Consider the following 22852-nt stretch of genomic DNA (forward strand, 5'->3'; position numbering starts at 1 on the left):
TTTATATGCATGTTTTTGAAGGTTTTTATCATTAAGTGATGTTGAACTTTTTCCATCCCTTTATTTTCAGTCTACGTGTATCTTTATGTATGAAGTGTATTTCTTATAGGCAACAGATCATTGAGTACTTTTTTTTATCCATTCAGCCCCTCTCTGTCTTTTGATTGGAGAGTTTAGTGCATTTGCATTCAATGTTATTATTGATAAGTAAAGACTCACTCTTGCAATTTTATTACTCGTTTTTTGACTGTTTTGTGGCCTTTCTCTTCCTTCTTCTCTTCCTGTCTTCCTTTTAATGAAGATAATTTTATCTAGCAGTATGCTTTGATTTGTTGTTTTTTATTTTTGTGTATTCATTGTATATTTTCTGATTTGAGATAACCATTAGGTTTCCAAATACTATCTCATAACCTATTATTTTAAACTGATGAGAAATTAATTCTGATTGCATAACAAAAACACAAAATAAAACTAATGATAACCCTATTCTTTATCTTTATTTTCTAGCTTTTAAACTTTTTCTGTTTCTCTTTATGTCTTATTGTACCGTCTGTATCTTGAGCAGTTGCTGTAATTATATTTTTTGATTGGTTCATCATTTAGTCTTTCTACTTTAGTCAAGACAATTTTACACACCAAAATTATGGTGTTACATCATTCTGTGTTTTTGCATGTTCTTATTATTAGCAGTGAGCTTTAAATCTTCAAATGATTTTTTTGTTGTTGTTCATTAATATCCTTTTCTTTCTGACTGAAGTACTCCCTTTAGCATTTCTGGTGGGACAGGTCTGGTGTTGATGAAATTACTCAACTATTGTTTGTCTGGGAATATCTTTATTTCTCCTTCGTGCACAGAGAATATATTCACTGGATATACTATTGTAGGGTAAAAGTTTTTTTCCTTCAATACCTTAAATATGTTGTGACACCCTCTTCTGGCCTGTATGGCTTCCATTAAAAAGTCTGCTGCCAGACATATTGGAGCTCCGTTATATGTTATTGGTTTCTTTTCTCTTGCTGCTTTTATAATTCTTCATTTATCCTTGACATTTGGGAATTTGATTATTCAATCCCTTGTGGTAGTCTTCTCTGGGTTAAATCTGCTTGGTGTCCTATAACTTTCTTTGTAATTTAATGTTGATATCTTTCTCTTGATTTGGGATATTCTATATTATCCCTTTGAATAAGCTTTCTGCTCCTATTTTTTTCTCTACTTCATCTTGAAGGCCAATAACTCTCAGATTTGCCCTTTGGAGTCTGTTTTCTAGATCTTGTAGGTGTGCTTCATTGTTTTTTATTTTTTATTATTTTGTCTCCTCTGACTGTATTTTCAAATAGCCTGTCTTCAAGCTCACTAATTCTTTCTTCTTCCTGATGAATTCTGCTATTAGGAGACTGTGATGAATTTTTCAGCATGTCATTTGCATTTTTCAACCCTAGAATTTCTGCTTCATTCTTTTTAATAATTTCAATCTCTTTGTTAAATTTATCTCATATAATTCTGATTCTCTCCTCTCTGCTATCTGAAATTTTTTTGAGTATCTCTAAAACAGCACATTTAATTTTCTGCCTGAAAGGTCATGTATGACTGTTTCTCCGGGATTCATCCCTGGTGCCTTATTTAGTTCATTTGATTAGGTCATGTTTTCCTGGAAGGTGTTGATGCTTGTAGATGTTTTTTATTGCCTGGGCATTGAAAAATAGATATTTATTGTAGTTTTCACAGTCTGGGCTTATTTGTGTTTGTCTTTCTTTTGAGGACTTTCCAGGTATTTGGAGGGACTTGGGATTCAAGCCCAATAACACTGTGGTTTTTTCAAACTTGTAGCAGTACTGTCTTGATGGTCTTGGATGAGTTCTGGAAGAGATCTCTGAGTTACCAGACAGAAACCCTTGTTTTTGTTTTGTTTTCTTTTGTTTTTTTCATTTACTTTTTCCCAAACCTACAATCTCTCTGTCTTTACTGAGCACCCTGGAAACAGGGAGTGTGGTGATGCAAGCACCCCTGTAGCCGTTATTGCCATGATGCCCAGGGCTCTTTGCTTTAGAGTGGCAAGTTCCCCCAGGCCCTTGGAGTATCCCAGGGATTAGAGTAAAAAACTTTAGCAGTTTATTTAATATTCTATTCTACTACAGCTAAGCTGGCACTCAAAACACATGATGAAGTCCTTCTTACTCTCCCCTTTTCACAGGCAGAAGAGCCTGTCCATGTGGCCACTACTACCACTGGCCCATGGCGAGTTCTGCCAGGTTTCTGAAGATCTTTGCTTCAAGCCCAAGGGCATCTGCATCAGCTTGTGGTAAATGCTGCCAGGCTTGGAACTCACCCTCCAGTGGAGTGGTCTCCTTTCTGGCCCAGGGCAGGTCTAGAAATGCTGTCCAAGAGCATAAGGTCAATACTTTTGCCTATGATCCAAGACCATTAATATGCATACCTATTATTTGTAGGAAAGGAGTCACAAACACCAGTGTTTTCCACAAACACATCAGTGGTGACTGACATATTGTTAAGATTTGTTTATTATAAAAGCTTACTGCTACCTTAAAGTGAGTGGAGTTTGGCCTGGAAAATATAGAAGAACAGAGAACAACAACAAAAACAAGTAAACATAATCCAAATCTGAGAGGCGTGGGAAAACTTAAAATGTTCAGTGAGAAGTCTAATCTTGATCTCAGTGAGGAGCTCAAACAGGCTTAATAATGGTTTGTCACCCAAATGATGTTCAAAAGTGCTGAAGTTAATAATGCATCTAATCCAGAAATAAAGCATCCTTTGAGATAACCAGCTCGGCTATTCTTAGATTGCCAATGGAGCTCTTTTTTTTTTAATTATACTTTAAGTTTTAGGTTACATGTGCACAATGTGCAGATTAGTTACATATGTATACATGTGCCATTTTGGTGTGCTGCACCCATTAACTCGTCATTTAACATTAGGTATATCTCCCAATGCTATCCCTCCCCACTCCCCCAACCCCACAACAGGCCCCAGTGTGTGATGTTCCCTTTCCTGTGTCCATCTGTTCTCATTGTTCAATTCCCACCTACGAGTGAGAGCTTGCAGTGTTTGGTTTTTTTGTCCTTGCAATAGTTTGCTGGGAATGATGGTTTCCCGCTTCATAAAGACATGAACTCATCATTTTTTATGGCTGCATAGTATTCCATGGTGTATATGTGCCACATTTTCTTAATTCAGTCTATCATTGTTGGACATTTGGGTTGGTTCCAAGTCTTTGCTATTGTGAATAGTGCCACAATAGACATATGTGTGCATGTGCCTTTATAGCAGCATGATTTATAATCCTTTGGGTGTATACCCAGTAATGGGATTGCTGGGTCTAATGGTATTTCTAGTTCTAGATCCCTGAGGAATCGCCACACTGACTTCCACAATGGTTGAACTAGTTTACAATCCCACCAACAGTGTAAAAGTGTTCCTATTTCTCCAATGGAGCTCTTATGTTTCCATGTAGAACAGTAGCAACAGCAACAAACTTGGTAGAGACTTATCTTAGATCTTTCTGTGCTGATCCAGTACATGATCCACCGTGACAATGAGTAGGTGCACTGGAGGAATGAGTTGACGTTGAGAGTCAGTTCTGTTATGAAAACCTGTGTGTCATGTGCAAAAGGGGCCCAGCATCCACCAGGAGCTACTGGCAGTGGCTCATTGATCTTCCCATTTACTGCACATGAGCTGGAGTAGAGTTTTGCTCAATGATGAAGTATAAATGTGGAGTGTGGATCCCAGGAGATGATAATGGTCATACTGAGTTTAAAATAATTCTGTTTCATCGCATGGCTTTGCAAAGCATTATAAATAACCAGATGCTGAGTATTATGTACAAAGCATAGAAAGAGATTTGGACATGTGAGGCTCTCTACGTAAAAAGCAATTAACTCATGTTCTTGACATGTCTATCAAAATGCCACTTGCTAGCACAACATTGACTGTTGAGTGCCTTTTCTGTAGAATTTATATTCTTTCCCCACACTGGGAATCACCAGAGTAACCTTTTTACTCTGTTTTCTTAGCTCTCACCCTACCTCCTTCTGCTCCTTGCCGTCTGTCTCTTTTCATTTGTGAATTTGATTAGTTTATAGGGAAGAACATAGAGTCAGTGCCCTCCAAAGTTTAACTAAAAAGCCTGAAAGCTCATGTATTTAAAACAGCACACATAATGTAAATAACCTATATCTATGAACTATATCCCTTTACGACAGAGATTAAGTTAAAAACGTAGTGTTTAAGTTTGACATGAGACTTGAGTACTCAAATAATATCACATCAGGGGAAATGCCACATTTTTTTGCAGTCTACTTCACTGCTAGTAAGGAAAGACCAATTAAAAAATAGGGATCGGTAAATATGTTGTCTTGATAATCTAGGGTAAAGGATATGTTTGCATATAGATTCTTTGCTGTATTAGCTCAGCTGAACTTTATCTTTTCCCTTGACACCCTGCTGATTTCCAGCATATGTGTGTGTAATCACTAGTGTGTGACCTTCTACTGTTTGCCACTTAAATATCTGTTCCCTTGCTTTTTGCCAGCTGTACTAAGCAATGTTCTCAGGTATATTTTTGGTCCTGTCAGCAATTTAAGCATCAGAAAAAACATAGCTGTGGGTATCTCAAAAATTATCCTTTCCTTTCTCATTGTGTTCTCCATTCCACTTTTGAATATAATTGATTACAAGTCTAATGAATGATCTTACTATTGTTAATACATTAACCTTTTTCTTCAATTTAAATTCAGTATCCAAACTACATATCTTCAAAAGGGATATATCCACGCAAAGAAGGAGGAGAAATAAAATGCACAATAAATATTTGAGATAAAATCCTTATGATAGTCACTTGAAAACTTATTTGCTGTATTTTCTCCTATTTCTCCCCTTGCCCTAAACAACATAACCTGAACTAGTTACAATATGAAGAGAATGTCAATATTAATTGGAGTGTTTTGACTTCATCAGGAAACAACGAAAAATCAGAAGCTCTTAAAGCAGTAAGTTTCATCTTCTGGGAGGTTAATTTCCTTCGGAAGTTATATTAACTCCTTCTCACCACATGGGCATTATGTACTCTTAGTGTTACTGTTGTCTTTATAAATAGCCCTCCAGTGGCCCTAAATAGTAATTAAAGCTTTGCAATATGCCTAAATTGTTAAAGTATAAAAAGAGTAATGTAGATATGTGAAGAGTGTAGCTTGACAAATTACAATGATCACTTCTTTTCTTTCAGATTGAACATTTTTCCCCCCAACTACATTTTCCTCTTCCTTGAACAGGATAAATTTCAACTGGCAGGGCCACTAATAGTCTCAGTTTCACTATCTAATGATAACTGTATTCAGATGCAATGGTCTTTGACAAATTGAATTCTAATGTTTAATGTATGCAGATCTTCTTTGTTCTGAATGTGGGAAGATGGAATTCCGTGCTTCAAGCTGACAGCAGTAGTTTGCATAATACTGATTTTAAGACTATCTTGTGATATATAATCTACTTCTTTACCACAGAAGAGGATTTAAAGCTTGGGACATGTGTCTGCATCTCACTATTTGACGTTTCCGCAAAAATAATATTAAACTTTCCCCGTTGACTCAATATAGGGTTCGTAGAATATGAGTGTTTTAGAGTGAATTAGAGTGTTCCCTCAATTTGATAACTCATTTTTTTTTTTTTTTTTTTTTTTTTTTTTTTTTTTTTTTCAGATGGAGTCTCACTCTGTCACCAGGCTAGAGTGCAGTGGTGCAATCTTGGCTTACTGCAACCTCCACCTCCTGGGTTCTAGCGATTTTCATGCCTCAGCCTCCTGAGTAGCTGGGATTACAGGCATGCACCACCACACCCAGCTAATTTCTGTATTTTTGTAGAGACAAGGTTTCACTGTGTTGGCCAAGATAGTCTCGATCTCTGACCTCGTGATCTGCCTGCCTTGGCCTCCCAAAGTGCTGGGATTACAAGAGTGAGCGACCATGCCTAGCCCAATTTTTTTAAAATTGGAAATTTTGTAATTATTTTTTCTCACTGTTAAGTCTTATAAATCCTTGTTATATTTATCTTAGAACCCTCAATTTTCTTTTAAACCCACACATGCATTGTGCATGCACACACTAACACACATACAAAACTAACATTCCCATGATTTCTGAATTCACTTTATGTACCTATACAGATACTTCTTAATTTACAATGGGGCTATGTTCCAATAAACATGTTGCTGGCTGAAAATATTGTAAGTTGAAATGTATAAAATATACCTAATGAATTGAACATCATAGCTTAGCTTAGCCTAACTTATACATGCTCAGAACACTTACACTAACCTACAGATGGGTAAAGCCTATGTTAACACAAAGCCTATTTTATAACAAAGTTTTCAATATCTTATGTAGTTTATTGAATACTAAACTGAAAGTGAAAAACAGAATGGTTATAACAGAATAAAAAGATAACCTGCAGAAAGAAAGAAAATATTTGCAAAGTCATTCATTTGACAAGGAATTAATATTCAGAATACAAAAGAAACTCAAACAGCTCAACATCAAAGAAAAAAATTGAATAAAAATTGGCAAATTAGCCAAATAGACATCTCTCAAAAGAGGACATACAAATGGCCAAGAGGTATATGAGAAAATACTCAACATCGTTAATCATCAGGGAAATGCAAATTAAAACCACAATGAGATATAATCTCCCTCTAGTTACAATGGCTATTATAAAATAGACAAAAGATAACAAATGCATAGAAAGGGGAACTCTTATACACTGTGGTGGAAATGGAAATTAGTATAGCCATTATAGAAAACACTATTGGCTAGGTACAGTGGCTCACTCCTGTAATCCCAGCACTTTGGGAGGCCAAGGCAGGCAGATGACCTAAGGTCAGGAGTTTGAGACCAGCCTGGCCAACATGGTGAAACCCTGTCTCTACTAAAAATACAAAAAATTCACCAGGCATGGTGGTGCATGCCTGTAATCCCAGCTACTTGGATGGCTGAGGCAGGAGAACCGCTTGAACCCAAGAGGGGGACGTTGCAGTGAGTTGAGATGCTGGGAAGGGAAATGGAGAGGAAGAACAGTACAAAATTGGTTAACAGATAAAAAATTACAGCTAGATAATAGGAATCAGTTTTACTACTGCTTTAAGCACTGTAGGTGACTATAAAAAAAATTATTTTATATTTTCAGGCCAGGAATGGTGGCTCATGCCTATAATTGTAGCACTTTGGGAGGCCGGGGTGAGTGGGTCACGTGAAGTCAGGAGTTCCAGACCAGCCTGGCCAACATGGCAAAACCCTATCTCTACTGAAAATGCAAATAGTACCCGGGTATGGTGGCATGCCCCTGTAATCCCAGCTACTTGGGAGGCTGAGGTGGGATAATTGCTTGAACGTGGGAGGCGGAGGCTGCAGTGAGCCGACATTGCACCACTGCATTCCAGCCTGGGCAACAGGGCTAGACCCTGTCTCAAAAAAAAAAAAATATTTTATATTTTCAAATAACTAAAAGAGCAAATTTTGAATGATTCCAACACAAATAAATAATAAATGCTTGAGGTGATGAATGTGCTAGTTACCCTGATTAGATCATTACACATTGTATATACATGTACCAAATACTACACTGTACCCCATAAATATGTACAATTCCTATATATTAATTAAAAATAATTTTAAAAAGCAAAAAAACCCCTCAGAATGGTTGTATAGCTACTTGAAGTATGGTTTTGTTTTTGTAAATTCAAAAAATTGTTGACCCATCATCAGTCAGAGATCCATTCATATGCACTGTACACATATATCTTTAATATCTTCTTGCTTCTGTTTTATAATATTATTTTGCCAATATTATGTTTTTGTGATATCATTCATTTATTTTTAAAGATTAAAATTATACTTTAATAAAATGAATTATGTGTCATTGTCTAATTTTAATTTTGTAAATAAATTTTCTTTTATGGCCTATTTGTCCATGTGTTTAAGAGTGACGGAGTTTCATTCTAGATGTAAATTCATTTTCCCTTTTGCATCTATCTCTTTGTGTTTTACTCTCTGTGTCTAGAAGTTTTGGCAATGACTTCAACCAACCACAGTTTCTATCAGTCCAAAAGCAGCATGGAGACTTTGTCCCTTGGTGACAGTAGATATTTGTAGATCTAGACACCAAGCCATCGGGGTGGTTTGTCTCAGTCCCCACCTCTCCCAGGTCCCCCAAATAATTCATAGTCTCAGGGAATGATGAGCTGGCAGCAGCTTTTCCATTCTTTTCTCAGCAAGTGGTTCTCACCCCAGATGTCTGTTTTAGAGTACAGAGCCTTGTTTTGTTTTTGTGCTTTAAATGGAATTATTTACTTTTATTACAGAGAAAGCTTTTCTTCTGATCTCTGTTGCCTGCTGGCTGGGGGTCAGGAAGCTTGAAACCTTGGCCCCATGCTCTGAGGTATGTTTGAGTTCTGAATATGGATTATGGAAATGGTTACCTTATAGTTGAACAAAGCAAGTTCTTTTCTACTCTCAGGTTATTAATTGAAACTATCATGATGTATGTGTGTGTGTGTATGTATATGTATTTAGGTTTGGGAGTTATACTCAAATTATGGTTTTAAAGTATCATCTTTATTGAAAGTCATGCAGATTGTTATTATGCAGTGAAATTTATTGTATAGTTTCAAATTCTGCCACTGTAGCTATGAATAAAGCTGTTTTTGAAATCATCAGTAAACACTAAACTAAGCTCTATATCTAAGAAAAACTTTGTATTTTGTACTATTTTTATAGAACAGTGTGTGTTTTTCTCTGTTAACTTTATTTTGAGTAACCTGATAACATTAGCTATAGATTGAGTCTACAAATAATAATCCTAGAAATTCAGTGAATAATAATGTTGATTAGTGTTATAAAAGTTCCTTGATATTAAGATTCATAGAAAGTGATCATTCCTTTGGCAAATTGTTACATGGGGAACTAAATATTGTCTCTAAAAATTCAGATTCGCAATCCAAACAAGAAGATAAAAATAAAAATAAAGACTTTTAAATATGTTCAATTATGTTCATGTTACATATTTAGTTTTTTTCAGTTGAGTGATCACTGATTTGCTGGAATAAAATTTTCTGTTCAGGGTTAAATAGGCTTAAAATTTTTAAACCATCAAAATATAAAAATAAAACTTTAAATTTGCATTGTGTAAATAGAACAATATCCATAATTTACTACTGGAAGGAAACATTTTTATTTTAACCTATTTTATTTATAAATAATGATATGATCACTGTTTATATTTGTTATATCATATATTTGAAATAACATAAATAAGAAAATTGTATATTTGAACTATTAAGTGTATTTGAAGACGCATTCATTAGTATTAAATATTTCATGAGTGGTGAGTAAAATACTCTCTCTTGATTAATATTATCATATATTAAACTGGTAACATTATTCAGATAATTGTTTTTTAGTGTTTTCTCAGCTAGAAATTAGCAGTAATTGAAGCAGAAGTCTTATCTGATGATTATATTTTTTAAAAACATTATAAATGACATAATCCCAGAAAAATTTTAAAACCATTTGTATATGGTGTAGTGCTCTTATATATGTTTCTTCCTAAAAAAAGTGGATAAATGATATTTATTTAGAGATTTTGAGACTTCTAAAATACTTGCCTTCAATTATATCAGGAAATCTCAGATAATTTTTTTCTTGCCAAAACTTGTGCATGCCTCTTTATCCAGAATTAAATTTAAAATTTTCTCCCTATTTTTCATATTTCTGCTTAGGCTAATTAAATGAGTTACTAAACTTCCTAGTTGGATAGAAGGCATCTAGTGTTTTAATCTTTCTGTGCTACAAATAGTATCTAATAGTGTCTTCTACAATTCAGATTGAAAGGTATAAATTAGTCTTTGTTGTCCTCTGTATCTAATTTCTACAATAAGTTATAAATATGTTTTTCAAATTGAGAATCATAAGATAATCAAATAACCAGTAATCAGTAACTTTAACCATATGATATATAATATATAGTTATATATGTATATATATTAAGATTTTAAGATTTATGGGCATGGAATAAATATTTTAATTCTACCAATAAGAAGCTTAAATGTTTTATTTTCCAATATTGTAAAAAGTAATACAAATATCACTATATCAAGACAAAATACAGATATCGACATAATTAAACTGTTATCTATATTTTCATACATACATACGTACATTCATATTTCTAAATCCTCATGGAGGACTAATGAAACAAGTGTAAGTCATAGCTATAATGTTTCAGAAAAGAAAAAAAAATTGTAAGTCTTGCTCTACCTAACATAAAATCATAGAAATAACAGACTCAAAATAGTAGGGCACTATTAAAATGAGTTATAAGGAATTGCTATGATTTAAATGTCTCCTCCCAATTTTATGTGTTGCAAACAATGCGCAATGCAATAGTGTTGGGGATGGGACTTTGAAAGGTATTTGGGTCATTAAGGGTCTGCCTTCAGGAAAGGATTAATGCTGTTATATAAAGGCTTGCAGGAGTGAGCTCTTATGCTCTTCTCCCATGTGAGAAACAGCGTTCAAGGCGCCATCTTGGATATGGAGACCAGGCCCTTTTAAATTTGCCTGTGTCTTGATCTTGGACTTTCCCGCCTCTGGAAATGTGAGTAAATAAATTTCTGTCTTTATAAATGACCCCGTCTGTGGATTTTGTTATATCAGAATGAAATGGACTAAACAGAAATCAATGCAATGAAATAGGCTAATGTAACACAGAAAACATCACAAATGAATGAAAGATAACTATTTAAAAGTAGCATTTGTTACATGGATAATTTGTAATAGAAGTTTTACATTAAGCCTTATCCAGTATGTTAGTCAGTTGTCAGTTCAGGCTTCAATAACAACTACCATACACTACATGGCTCTAAGCTGCAAACATTTATTTCTCACAATTCTGGAGGCTGGGAAGTCCAAGAATAAGTGCCAGGCTCACTCAGTTCTTGGCAAGGGCCATCCTCCTAATTTTCAGAAGGAGGCCTTCTTGCTGTATACTCACATGACACAGAGAGAAATCATCTTCTTCCTAAAGGAATTCTAATCCCATCATGAGCACTCCTCATGACCTAATAATCTTTCAAAGCTCCCACCTCCAAACACCATCACACTGGGGATTAGGGCTTCAACATATAAATTTTGGGAAGACACAAACATTCAGTCCATAGCACAACACTCAGCATCAAACAAGTACATAAGTGCATAAATGAACACTATTCAAAAAGTTAAACGTAGCCAACGAAATTACAACTATTACGTTCTGCCTTCTATTAAAAATAAACTTGGCTGGGCATGGTGGCTCATGCCTCTAATCCCAGCACTTTGGGAAGCCGAGATGGGTGGATCACATGAGGTCAGGAGTTTGTGACCAGCCTGGCCAACACGGTGAAATTGTGTCCCTACTAAAAATAAAAATAATTAGCTGCGCATGGGCACCTGTCATCCCAGCTACTCGGAAGGCTGAGGCAGGAGAATTGTTTGAATCCGGGAGGCGGAGGTTGCAGTGAGCCAAGATCATGCCATTGCACTCCAGCCTGGGTGACAAGAGGGAAGCTCAGTCTCAATAAATAAATAAAATAAATAAATAAATGAATAAATAAATAAATAAACAAATGCTAAACAGAACATTAACAAACTCCCACTAGCCTTCAAAAAATGAAAAGAAAAATCCGTGGATGCTTGTTGGATATGACAACCTATGAAGGAAATATAACTAAAACCAATATCACCAAAGTTAACATATATACACTAGGAAAAACTGTGCAAGAAAATACAAAGAACAAATAGTTAAAACACAAACATTCTTGATTGCCATCACCTAGAGAAAAATTTATGGGGTTTGTCAATTCTGAGAAGAGGAATCAAAGATGTTCAACACAACAGTATTCAAAGTATGATTTATAAAAACAAAATATTTCTTTTATAACTGGGACATTTGAAAATAATTTATAATTTTAAAATAAGATACATCCTAAAGAAGGTGTAGGGTAAACATTGCAGTATTAATAGTGTATGTAGTAGCCCACATTTATTAAGCATCCAATATGTGATTTGTGTTTTTCTAAGACTTGAGTTATATGTATTAGCAATTTATCTTCAAAACATCCTTATGAAGTAGGCACTATTAGTATTCTCACTTTGAGGCACATAAAAATTCAAAACTTGTTTTTATAATTAGTGCAGTGGAAAAACCTAGGTTCATCATCAAGCTGTCCGGTTCTAGAGGACACGAGACTCTTAAACACAGGGCAGTGCTTGCAAGGTATAACAATAATATTTACCACTTATGAACACTACATATTTGCTAGGGATTATGGTAACCATTTATATGTGGTATTTCAAGTAATCTCTAGAGGAAAGTTTATTTTCTTCTTAGACTAAGACAGAAACCAAAACCCAAATATTTTAAGTAAATATCCAAAGCAGAAAGAGCTGCTAAACATAGCAACTGTCTGTGAAATAGCAAAACCTTGCACACTCATGCCCTTTACATTTTGGGATTTTTTTTCAATATTTCACTAAAGCAAAATGAGGGTACAGTAGCCCCTTCATGTCTGTGGGTTCTGTATCCCTGGATTCAACCAATGGCAGATCAAAAATATTTGAATAAAGAAACAATTTTAAAAAAACAATAAAAATAATACAAATAAAATATGATAAAACAAATATTTACAAAATATTTACATTGTATTAGGTATTATAAGTAGCCTAGGGGTGATGTATATATGATGTGCGGAGTTGTATATAGGAGGATGTGCAGAGGTTGTACACAAATATTACATCTTTCTGTATAAAGGACTTGAGCATCCTTGGATTTTGGTATTGGTGGGAAGTCCTGGAACAAATACCCCATGAATACTGAGGAACTACTGTATGTCTAACTGAAAAAAAAAGTTTTTAAGATTATGTTATTTCATTTGTATGAAACTCTACTAAAAATGGTAAGAAATGGAAACAAAATGTTATGTTCATGAATGTACTTGGCAACCATGATTGTGAAAAAAATAAAATAATTCAAATGTCTAACCATAGAGAAATACCAAATTCACATACTGACTGAAGCATAGCTACTGGAAATCAGGTGTTCAAAGAGGATATAATGATATATATATTTATTCATTTTCTCTATATAAGTGTGCTCAGAGACAATGATTGAGGGAAGAATACAAGAACTATTAGCAGTGGTTAATGTAATATTTTGCCATGTAATATAATTTTTTCTTTGAGATTTCTCGATTTTTTTTGAAGTTTTCTGGTCTCAACTAATTTATTTCGCATATGTGAACCAGGGGACAAGAAGAATGAGAATCATAATAGGAGTATGCCACAAAGGAAAGATAAATAGTTAAATAAGTAATACTTTTTTTGAAAAAGGTTTATTTTCTATCCTACAATGGACATCTCAAGACAATTGGGTAGTCCACTGAGTCTCTAAATTAGAACACAGTTGGATGTTTCTGACAATGTTCAGATTTTGTTTTCATCTTCCGAGATGCTGAGATTCACTAGGGAAACCTAGCATTCCAAATGTGTTAGAAAATACATAATGTGTCAACACATTGTGACATGGGAGTGATACTAGTAAAAGCTGTTTGAGTCTATTAATAACACAAAACCAGTTCATTCTAATAGCAGAAAAATATGAGTAAATTTCAGGTTTCCTTCCTTCTCTCTTTCTTTTTTTCTTATTTGCTTTTGTAGTATTACTTTATAAATTAAGAAAAACGATGTAATTTTCTAAAAGTTGTAGGAGGCTTTGTGTGGAAATTTCTGCTCCCTTTGAAGCTCGTTATTCAGCATTATATACCGAACTATTTTAGCCATGCATTGTTTTTTACTCATTTACTCATTTGCTTTTTTTTCTGTCTCCCTTGCATCATCTGTGATGCTCACATTCAGATGGCAAATGAAAGAATACTTTGCAAAGTTCATGAATTGGCACAACTTTGGTTCATAAAAGTTATTTTCTGACTAATTTGCTGTTTTTCATTACACCTTTTCTGAAAGTGACAGAGAAAAGAGAGAACAGGATCAATAATAGATAAGTGAATATGACCTTACCAACATGTGTCCTCAATTGGAAAATGTTCACAGGTGTAATGAATCAGTCAGCATCTTACTTCATTCATAGGTGAAATGATTGACCTGTCTCTCCCAACTTCACCTCCATTACCTTTGAGGACAAGGGGCACTGAAGATGTGCTTAATGATTATTGGCTGCAGTATGTTAGTTGTTACTAGCCATGTTTATTGTTTGTTATTGCTTATGCCTAAATCACCTTTAGTAATAAAAAAATTGTTTAGAAACATCAAATATATCTATTTTTTCCTACTGACAGAACTCTGAAGGTTCTAATTTTGGCTAACATATCGAATCACTTCCATTTTGTCAATAGACATTTTGGAGAGATGACATTGAAACCTATCTGGATGTACACTGATTATTGCAGTTTCTACAGAATTATGTGTAACTAATGAGATGTATGACAAGGTGACCCAGTGATAGTGATGATAGTGATAACAAAGGGACTAGAAATCCCAGCACAGTTGTCACCTCAATTTAGTGAGAAAAAAGAAAGCTCTGAAGGATTTTTTTCTTCCTTGAGTAGCTTGTTTTCTTAGTTTGCTCCTTCATTATTATTATAAATTGAAATTAATTTATTTCCTCAGTTTAATCCTTAATACGCTAAGATATGTCAAATGTGTCCAATTGCATTGAACAATTTGAATACATTCTATTTTAATCTTATTGACTATATTGATCTCATTCTACTCCTCAAACAACGCAGCCAAAAATATGCAATCCATTTCAGCAAATGAAACCTCTGGGTGAAGGTTAATTACAAGGCTTCTAAATGAAACAACTGAAAAGAGACAATGATCAATTGAAAATAGACCCTAATAGAGTATGTATGTGCATTTTTCCTTTCACCATAAGGGTTGGAATTATAAGCCACAGATGCCAGTTCCCAGTTACTCATGCCAGCTGGGGGTACATTTGCCCCCACTCTTTCCCATTGGATTTGAAAACTGCTCAATTATCCTTGTATTCCAAGGTCTGTGCTTGCAGCAGGGCTCTGAGATCTAAATTCTTTCACAGATACGGAGATGGGTTCAGTTTACGTGTCTAAAGAGATAATGTTTTAAATGCTCATACGTATTTGACTTTCACATAGTAAGAAAAAGAAACATTTACATCTATCAAGTTAAAAAGAATGCAGTAAGTCTGGTGTGTGTGTGTGTGTGTGTTATAGGAAAGGTTGGGGAGAGAGGAGCAAACTGGCACTTTTTCAGGGACAATCTAGCTATTTGCTATTCCACAGTTGCTTCTGGAGTCTGCGGTGGCAGCTGGTAGTGCTTCTCTGATGGCCATGCTTCCAGGAAACAGCAGAACTAAGACAACCTAAAACAATAAACGCAATGCTATTAACAAATTACTGCCCCTTCCCCCTTTCTACCGATTTCTTTCCAGAAAACATCTGTCTTCTTGGTCTCCTTTCTGCATGCATAAATTCACCTCTAAAGTTCACAGCTTCTTGAGCATTTTTCTATTCTCTATTTAAAAAATGTGTTTTTTCTCACAATCATCTGACAACCTTTCAGTAGCAGAGGTTGTCTGTACTATTTAGTTTTACTTTCTCTATCAAGAATACTGTTTACATACTAGGCAACGACCAATGAGATCAAAAATTATTAGGGGCAATAATATAAGATAATCTTATTAGAGAAATTTTGCTTTAATAATCTCTCCCACTTCCTAGAGCCCATTCTACAACTTCCTAGCTTGTACTGGCATAATTTATTTTATTTTAGTTTCATAATATTACTATTTTTTTCTTTTCTGTGCACTTTTTCTATTACAAGAATCACGACTTCCACTTGTTTTCCACACATCCATTATTTACAATTAACTAATTTCAAGACTGATGGATCACCACTGCCTTCCCCTCTCCTTTTGTCCTTTCTTTTGAAATCAGTATCGTTAATTCAAATATATTTTTATTAAGAGTTTTCTTCAAATAGATACATAAAGATGTATCCTTTTAATGTTTGTTGTTGCTCAAAAATGCCTTTCTTTTGCCTAACATATGTTTGGTATTTTGCTTGGAGATGTGATATTTGAATTGCAGTCTCAACTTCTCAATAGTCTGTAGATGTTCTTCCACTGTCTTCCACTCTTCCACTTCCATTATTGCAGAGGCGAGGTCCAGTGTTTTGTTTTGTTTTTAATTCTTGTTCCTGTATAGTCAGTTGCTATTGCATGGATATCTTTTTTTTTTTTTTTTTTTTTTGAGATGGAGTTTCGCTCTGTCACCCAGGCTGGAGTGCAGTGGTGCAATCTCGGCTCACTGCAGCCTCCGCCTCCCGGGTTCAAGCAATTCTCTGCCTCAGCCTCCCAAGTAGCTGGGATCACAAGCAACTGCCACCACGCCCGACTAATTTTTTTTTTTTTTTGTATTTTTAGTGGAGGCGGGGTTTCACCATCTTGGCCAGGCTGATCTTGAACTCCTGACCTCGTGATCCACCTGCCTTGGCCTCCCAAAATGCTGGGATTACAGATGTGAGCCACCGCACCTGTCCAACTTTTTTTTTTAAATTTAAATTATGGAAGAAAGGATTTATGAAGATATTGCCTCTCTTACTCTCTGTACATTTTCCAGTAAAAACTTAATATATAGTAGGTATGAGAAAAATATTCAGGACGTATGAACAAACATTTGTTGAGTGCATGCTAATACGAAGTACTGTGATAGATTACAGACACCTCTTTCCCTTGCTCCTTAGGTTGGGAGTACAATATGGAATGTACACAGGTAAACATTTAATTATGACAAGGCATACTGAATTGGAACTAGTTAGGGATTAGACAAAGTTCTCTCTGTGGAAATAAATAAATGATTTGTTTCAATGGATTTTACAGAAGTCATCTGGGCTTTTCAACAAAATAGATTCCTCTCTCCATTGACCTGAATTGCCTTAACTGCCAAATGTCTGGGTCTTTGCTTAGTAAAAGATAGACACAGGGTGCAATTCTTCTATTTTGTATCCTTGTTCCCTTTGTCAATTGAACGTCTAGTTGGGCATTTATTGCTGAAGCACACTGAAGGCAATTTCAGCTGAAGGTGAGCCAATGTTTGTGTAAACTTCCAATACAGATTAAATATTAGGGTTTGTCCCAGCTCACATAAGAAGCTAGAGCTATCAGGTTTAGGGTTGGAGGGAAGTCAGAAATTCTTTTAGACAGAGGAAAGAACATATGTAAAAGGCTGGAAGCAAGAAAGTCCATGAAAAACAGGTTAAGAAAGAGATTATAAAGTACATGGAGCCGTATTACAATATGACCCTGAGTGCAACTGGGTGGCTTTGAATGAAAACAGATTCATGATATGAACTGACCTGAAAAATCAGTGTATGAGGTTCCCCAGACAGGAGGGATATTGGACTAATCCAATAGATACATGATAAAAAGAGAAAAAATATAATCCTTATTTTCTTGAAATGCTTTTCATTTAAACCAAAACAATAGCAACCAGGAAACCTGTCTGAAAAACAATCCAATAAACACAATAGAGCTACTTTATTTTTTGGAATAAAGAGGAATACTCTTATATTTTTATATATTATTTATATCTCGGCCAGCATAAAACATATTAGCATTTTTTTTCTTTTTTTTTTGAGACGAAGTCTCACCCCAGGCTGGGGTGCAGGTGCGTGATCTTGGCTCACTGCAAGCTCTGCCTCCCTGGTTCGATCAATTCTCCTGCCTCAGCCTCCCGAGTAGCTGGGACTACAGGCGTGCACAACCATGCCTGGCTAATTTTTGTAGTTTTAGTAGAGATGGGGTTTCATCATGTTGGCCAGACTGGTCTTGAACTCCTGACCTCAGGTGATCCACTTGCCTCGGCCTCCCAAAGTGCTGGGATTACAGGCATGAGCCACTGCTTCCATCCATTGGCCTTTGTTTAAGGTTTGATTGCTTTTTCACTTTTGTATGAATCTATTTTGAAAGCAGTCTCTGAGTGTGGGAGGTTCCCTGGGACTTGCAATGCATCTGCTGGAGTCACAACTGAGAAGATTGCCTTAAAAAATAAAGTAATCCATGAAAACATTGGCCTGACCAAAGTAGACAAAAATCCCTGTCAAGATAGGATAACAACTCTGTTTATTGATCTACTTTACTAAAGTTGGCTAGGAAGAGGGGCGTAATCACAATTCATTTTGTTTGAGGATTTGTGAAACTTGAAAAAGCTGATATTTTCAGATTATTTTGGAATTATCACTTAATAATTGAAATGTTTATATTCAAATATTTTAAATGTAAATTAATATTTGACTGTGTAATTTAAAAATATACAGCTGCTCCACAGGGAGCTTTTGGGGTTCTCCTTTCTGCACTGAGATCACTGTCATTAGCTATTACAGCACATTTTTTGTTTGTTTTTGAGATGGACTCTTACTTTCTAATCCAGGCTGGAGTGCAGTGGTGTGATCTTGGCTCATTGCAACCTCAGCCTGCCTCTCGGGTTAAGTGATTCTCCTCCCTCAGCCTCCCGAGTAGCTGGGATCACAAGTACCTGCCACCATACCTGGCTAATTTTCCTTTTTTTTTTTTTTTTTGTATTTTTAGTAGAAACGAGTTTTCACCATGTACCACATTGGCCAGGCTGGTCTCAAACTCCTGAATTCAAGTGATCCGTCTGCCTCAGCCTTCCAAAGTGCTGGGATTACAAGCCTGAGCCACTGTGCCGGCCCTATTACAACACATCTGATTGCATTCAAGGCATTATACTCTTGGAGATCAGAAAGTGTGTTCAACCTGTACAGAGTTTGTGTGCATATGCATATGTGTGAAACATATGTCTTGCTGAGTTAAGTTGCAATCTTCTTCAATACATAATTTTTCAACACATAATTTTAGTGTGCTCTTTCTTAATATGGAATCTTGAAAATAATAGACAGCTGCTACTTTAATGATTGATTGGTTGGCTGGTTGACATATCTCCTAGTTTCAGTTTCATCTAACATTTTTTGTTGTTGTTTTACTGGAATCCCATTACATGATTTTCCTTAATTTTAAAAGAATATATGCAGTTTTTTTTTTAATTTTAAAAAGGCAATTATTTCAGAATGGCTTAAAAATAATTTCACAGTTCTTTGTCCTCAAAACCACAAAACTCCCTATGGGCAAACATATTCAACAGTTTGTTTTTAATTCTTATAGATGTTGTCTTAATCACTCTTGACTTAATTTTAGGCCTTACTTCTGTTTTGACACTTTCTTTTATATAATTAGATAATTAGATAGAAAATTATTTCCACAACTTCTCCTTAAATTGTAAAGTTCCACTTTTAGAGTTTTGTTTGATTTTTAATTGACAAATAATAATTGTACATATTTATGGGATACCATGAGATGTTTTAATACATGTATATATTCTAGAATGATAAGATCTTGCAAATTAACATATCCATTATCTCACATGCTTATTATTTCTTTGTAGTTATTAACGTTTAAAATCTACTCTTTTAGCAGTTTTGAAATATATAATATATTATTATTAATCATGGTCACCATGTTGTGCAATAGATCACTTGAACATATTTCTCCTGTCTAACTGAAACTTGGTAAGCTTGGAACAACATCACTTCTTTCCTCTTGCACCCTCCAACACTGCTTTCCCCCTTCCCAACCTCACCCACTCCCTTGTGTCCACAGCCTTTGATAGCCACCATTGTATTGTCTTCTATCAAGATATTAATAATTTATTTTGACTTCAAACTATGTAAGATGAGAATATATGTTGCCCAGATTCTCTTTACCTTTCCTTTTCCATCTTTGACCATCACACTTACATGAGCTATATCTTCAATTTTAACATTTTTCTAAACCTTTTTGAACTCCAATCAGAGCTATGCATTCTCCCTGTACAGAGAATGCTATCCTCACAATCTGTGCAGGCTCACTCTTAACTTTTATTGAATTGTTTTTATTTGTATTATTCCATGTCCCCAATTCAGTTATTTTCCTGTAGTAGCCAACCATACTTCTGGGCTATGTAATGCATCTTTTCCCAAAATATGTTTGATTTTTTTCCTTTTAATTGTCTTTGGTTTTGGTATTGGTAGTGCTATCCTCCTAAGATTAGCTTGGAAGTGTTCCTTCCTCTTCTATTTTCTCAAAATGTTTGCAGAGAATTTGTAATATTTTTTTCTCTAAATGTTTGAAAGGATTCACCAGCAAAGTTATCCATTTAAAACTACACATCTTTTCTTTGTAAGAAAGTGTTTTATTATAAATTCGGTTTTTTAATTGGTATGGGAGCACTCTGATATACTCTTGCTTAGAGTCAAATTGGATAATTTATGTAGTCAAGGAACTCAACCATTTCTTCTACATTTCAAACTTGCTGGCATTATATGGCTACATAACATTCCCTTCTTAAAATATGTGTAGGATTTATGAAGACCTCTTTTATTTCTGATATTTTTAATGGGTATTTCTCTTTTTTTGCCTTTATCAGTAAAATCAACAGATTTACTCATTTTATTAGTACTTTTAAACAATTAGCTTACCACATAATTAATTTTATTTATGTTTTGCATTTCATTTCATTTCATTTGTTTTATTTTTTTGAGACAGAGTCTCGTTTGGTCATTTAGGCTGGAGTGCAGTGGCATGATTCAGGTCACTGCAGACTCCTTCTCCTGGGATCAAGGGATCCTCTCACCTCAGCCTCCCAAGTAGCTGAGACTACAGGCACATGCCACCACATCTGGCTAGTTTTTGTATTTTTTTGTAGAGACAGGGTTTCGCCATATTGCCCAGGCTGGTCTCAAGCTCCTGGGCTCAAATGATACTCTTTACTCTTACCTCGACCTCTCAAAGTGCTGGGATTACAGGTGTGAGACACTGCACCCAGCCTCATTTACTTTTTGTACTTACCTTATTTCCTTTCTTCTACTTATTTTGGGTTTAACTGGATTTTTGATGAATTTTTCTTGTGCATGTCAGTAGTCAAATAATTCTCTGAGCTTTCGCTTATCACAAGTATTATCAATTAAAAGTTTTTTTGTGATATAAAATTCTAGGTTGATTTTTTGGCTTTTTACACTTTAAAGATGATATCTCATCTTCTGCCCTTTTGACTTGCTTCTGATGAAAATGAATAGAATACATTATTATTTATGATGAAAATGAAGTTACCATTAATAATGTTGCCCTATATTGAATGTGGCCTATACATTGGTTGCCTTTTCTTTTTTCTGTGCGGTTGGTTTACCACATGCAAACTACTGCTGCCCTAAGCATCAAACTATTGCTGACCTAAGCATTAAACTATTGCTGACCTAAGCATCATTTAAAAAATGTATTTACTCTTATTATTAGCCAAACTTTTGGATACGTAGGTTTGTGTTTTTCAAAACTTTTTGAAAGTTTTATCTGATGTTTTATTCAAACAGTTTTACGTACAATTATATTTCTGAGAATTCAATTACATTTATCATGTTTGATGTTAAAAGTGAGAAATTGTTCATTATTTGCAAACATTTCATTTTCTATTAGTCTTTATATTTGATAATTTCTATTACTCTGTCTTCAAGTTTACTTACTTTTTCTTTTGTAATCTCCAAAATTGTATTACATTAATCTAGTAATTTTTTCATGTTCTACCTTTTAATCTTTAATTTTGAAATTTCATTCATTCGTTCATATAGATGATTCTACTGCTTTGCCCAGACTACCTTTCTCTTTAATCATCATCTCAATCATTTTGTTCATATAATCGAACATAGTCACAATAGTTTTCTAAAGTCTTTGCCAATTCCAACATCTACATTATCTCAGTCAGTTTTTAAAAAATTAATTATCAATGAGAATATGCGGTGTTTGGTTTTCTGTTCTTGTGTTAGTTTGCTGAGAATGATGGTTTCCAGTGTCATCCATGTCCCTGCAAAGAACATGAACTCAACCTTTTTTATGGCTGCATAGTATTCCATGGTGTATATGTGTAACATTTTCTTCATCCAGTCTATTACTGATGAGCATTTGGGTTGGTTCCAAGTCTTTGCTATTGTGAACAGTGCCGCAATAAACATACTTGTGCATGTGTCTTGATAGTAGAATGATTTATAATCCTTTGGGTATATACCCAGTAATGGGATTGCTGGGTCAAATGATATTTCTAGTTCTAGATCCTTGAGGAATCACCACACTGTCTTCCACAATGGTTGAACTAATTTACACTCCCACCAACAGTGTAAAAGTGTTTCAATTTCTCCACATCATCTCCAGCATCTGTTGTTTCCTGACTTTTTAATGATCGCCATTCTAACTGGCGTGAGATAGGTATCCCATTGTGGTTTTGATTTGCATTTCTCTAATGACCAGTGATGATGAGCTTTTTTTCATATGTTTGTTGGCTGCATAAATGTCTTCTTTTGAGAAGTGTCTGTTTATATCTTTCTGCCACTTTTTGATGGGGTTGTTTTTTTCTTATAAATTTGTTTAAGTTTTGTAGATTCTGGATATCAGCGCTTTGTCAGATGGATAGATTGCACAAATTTTCTCCTATTCTGTGTTTGTGCTGCCTGTTCACTCTGATGATAGTTTCTTTTGCTGCACAGAAGCTCTTTAGTTTAATCAGATCCCATTATGTCTATTTTGGCTTTTGTAAATGAGGACACATGGACACAGGCAGGGGAACATCACACACCGGGGCCTGTCTGGGTGTAGGGGACTATGGGAGGGATAGCACTAGGAGAAATACCTAATGTAGATGACAGGTTGATG

Source organism: Homo sapiens, chromosome 5, assembly GCF_000001405.40.
Source record: "Homo sapiens chromosome 5, GRCh38.p14 Primary Assembly".
Lineage (NCBI taxonomy): Eukaryota > Metazoa > Chordata > Mammalia > Primates > Hominidae > Homo > Homo sapiens.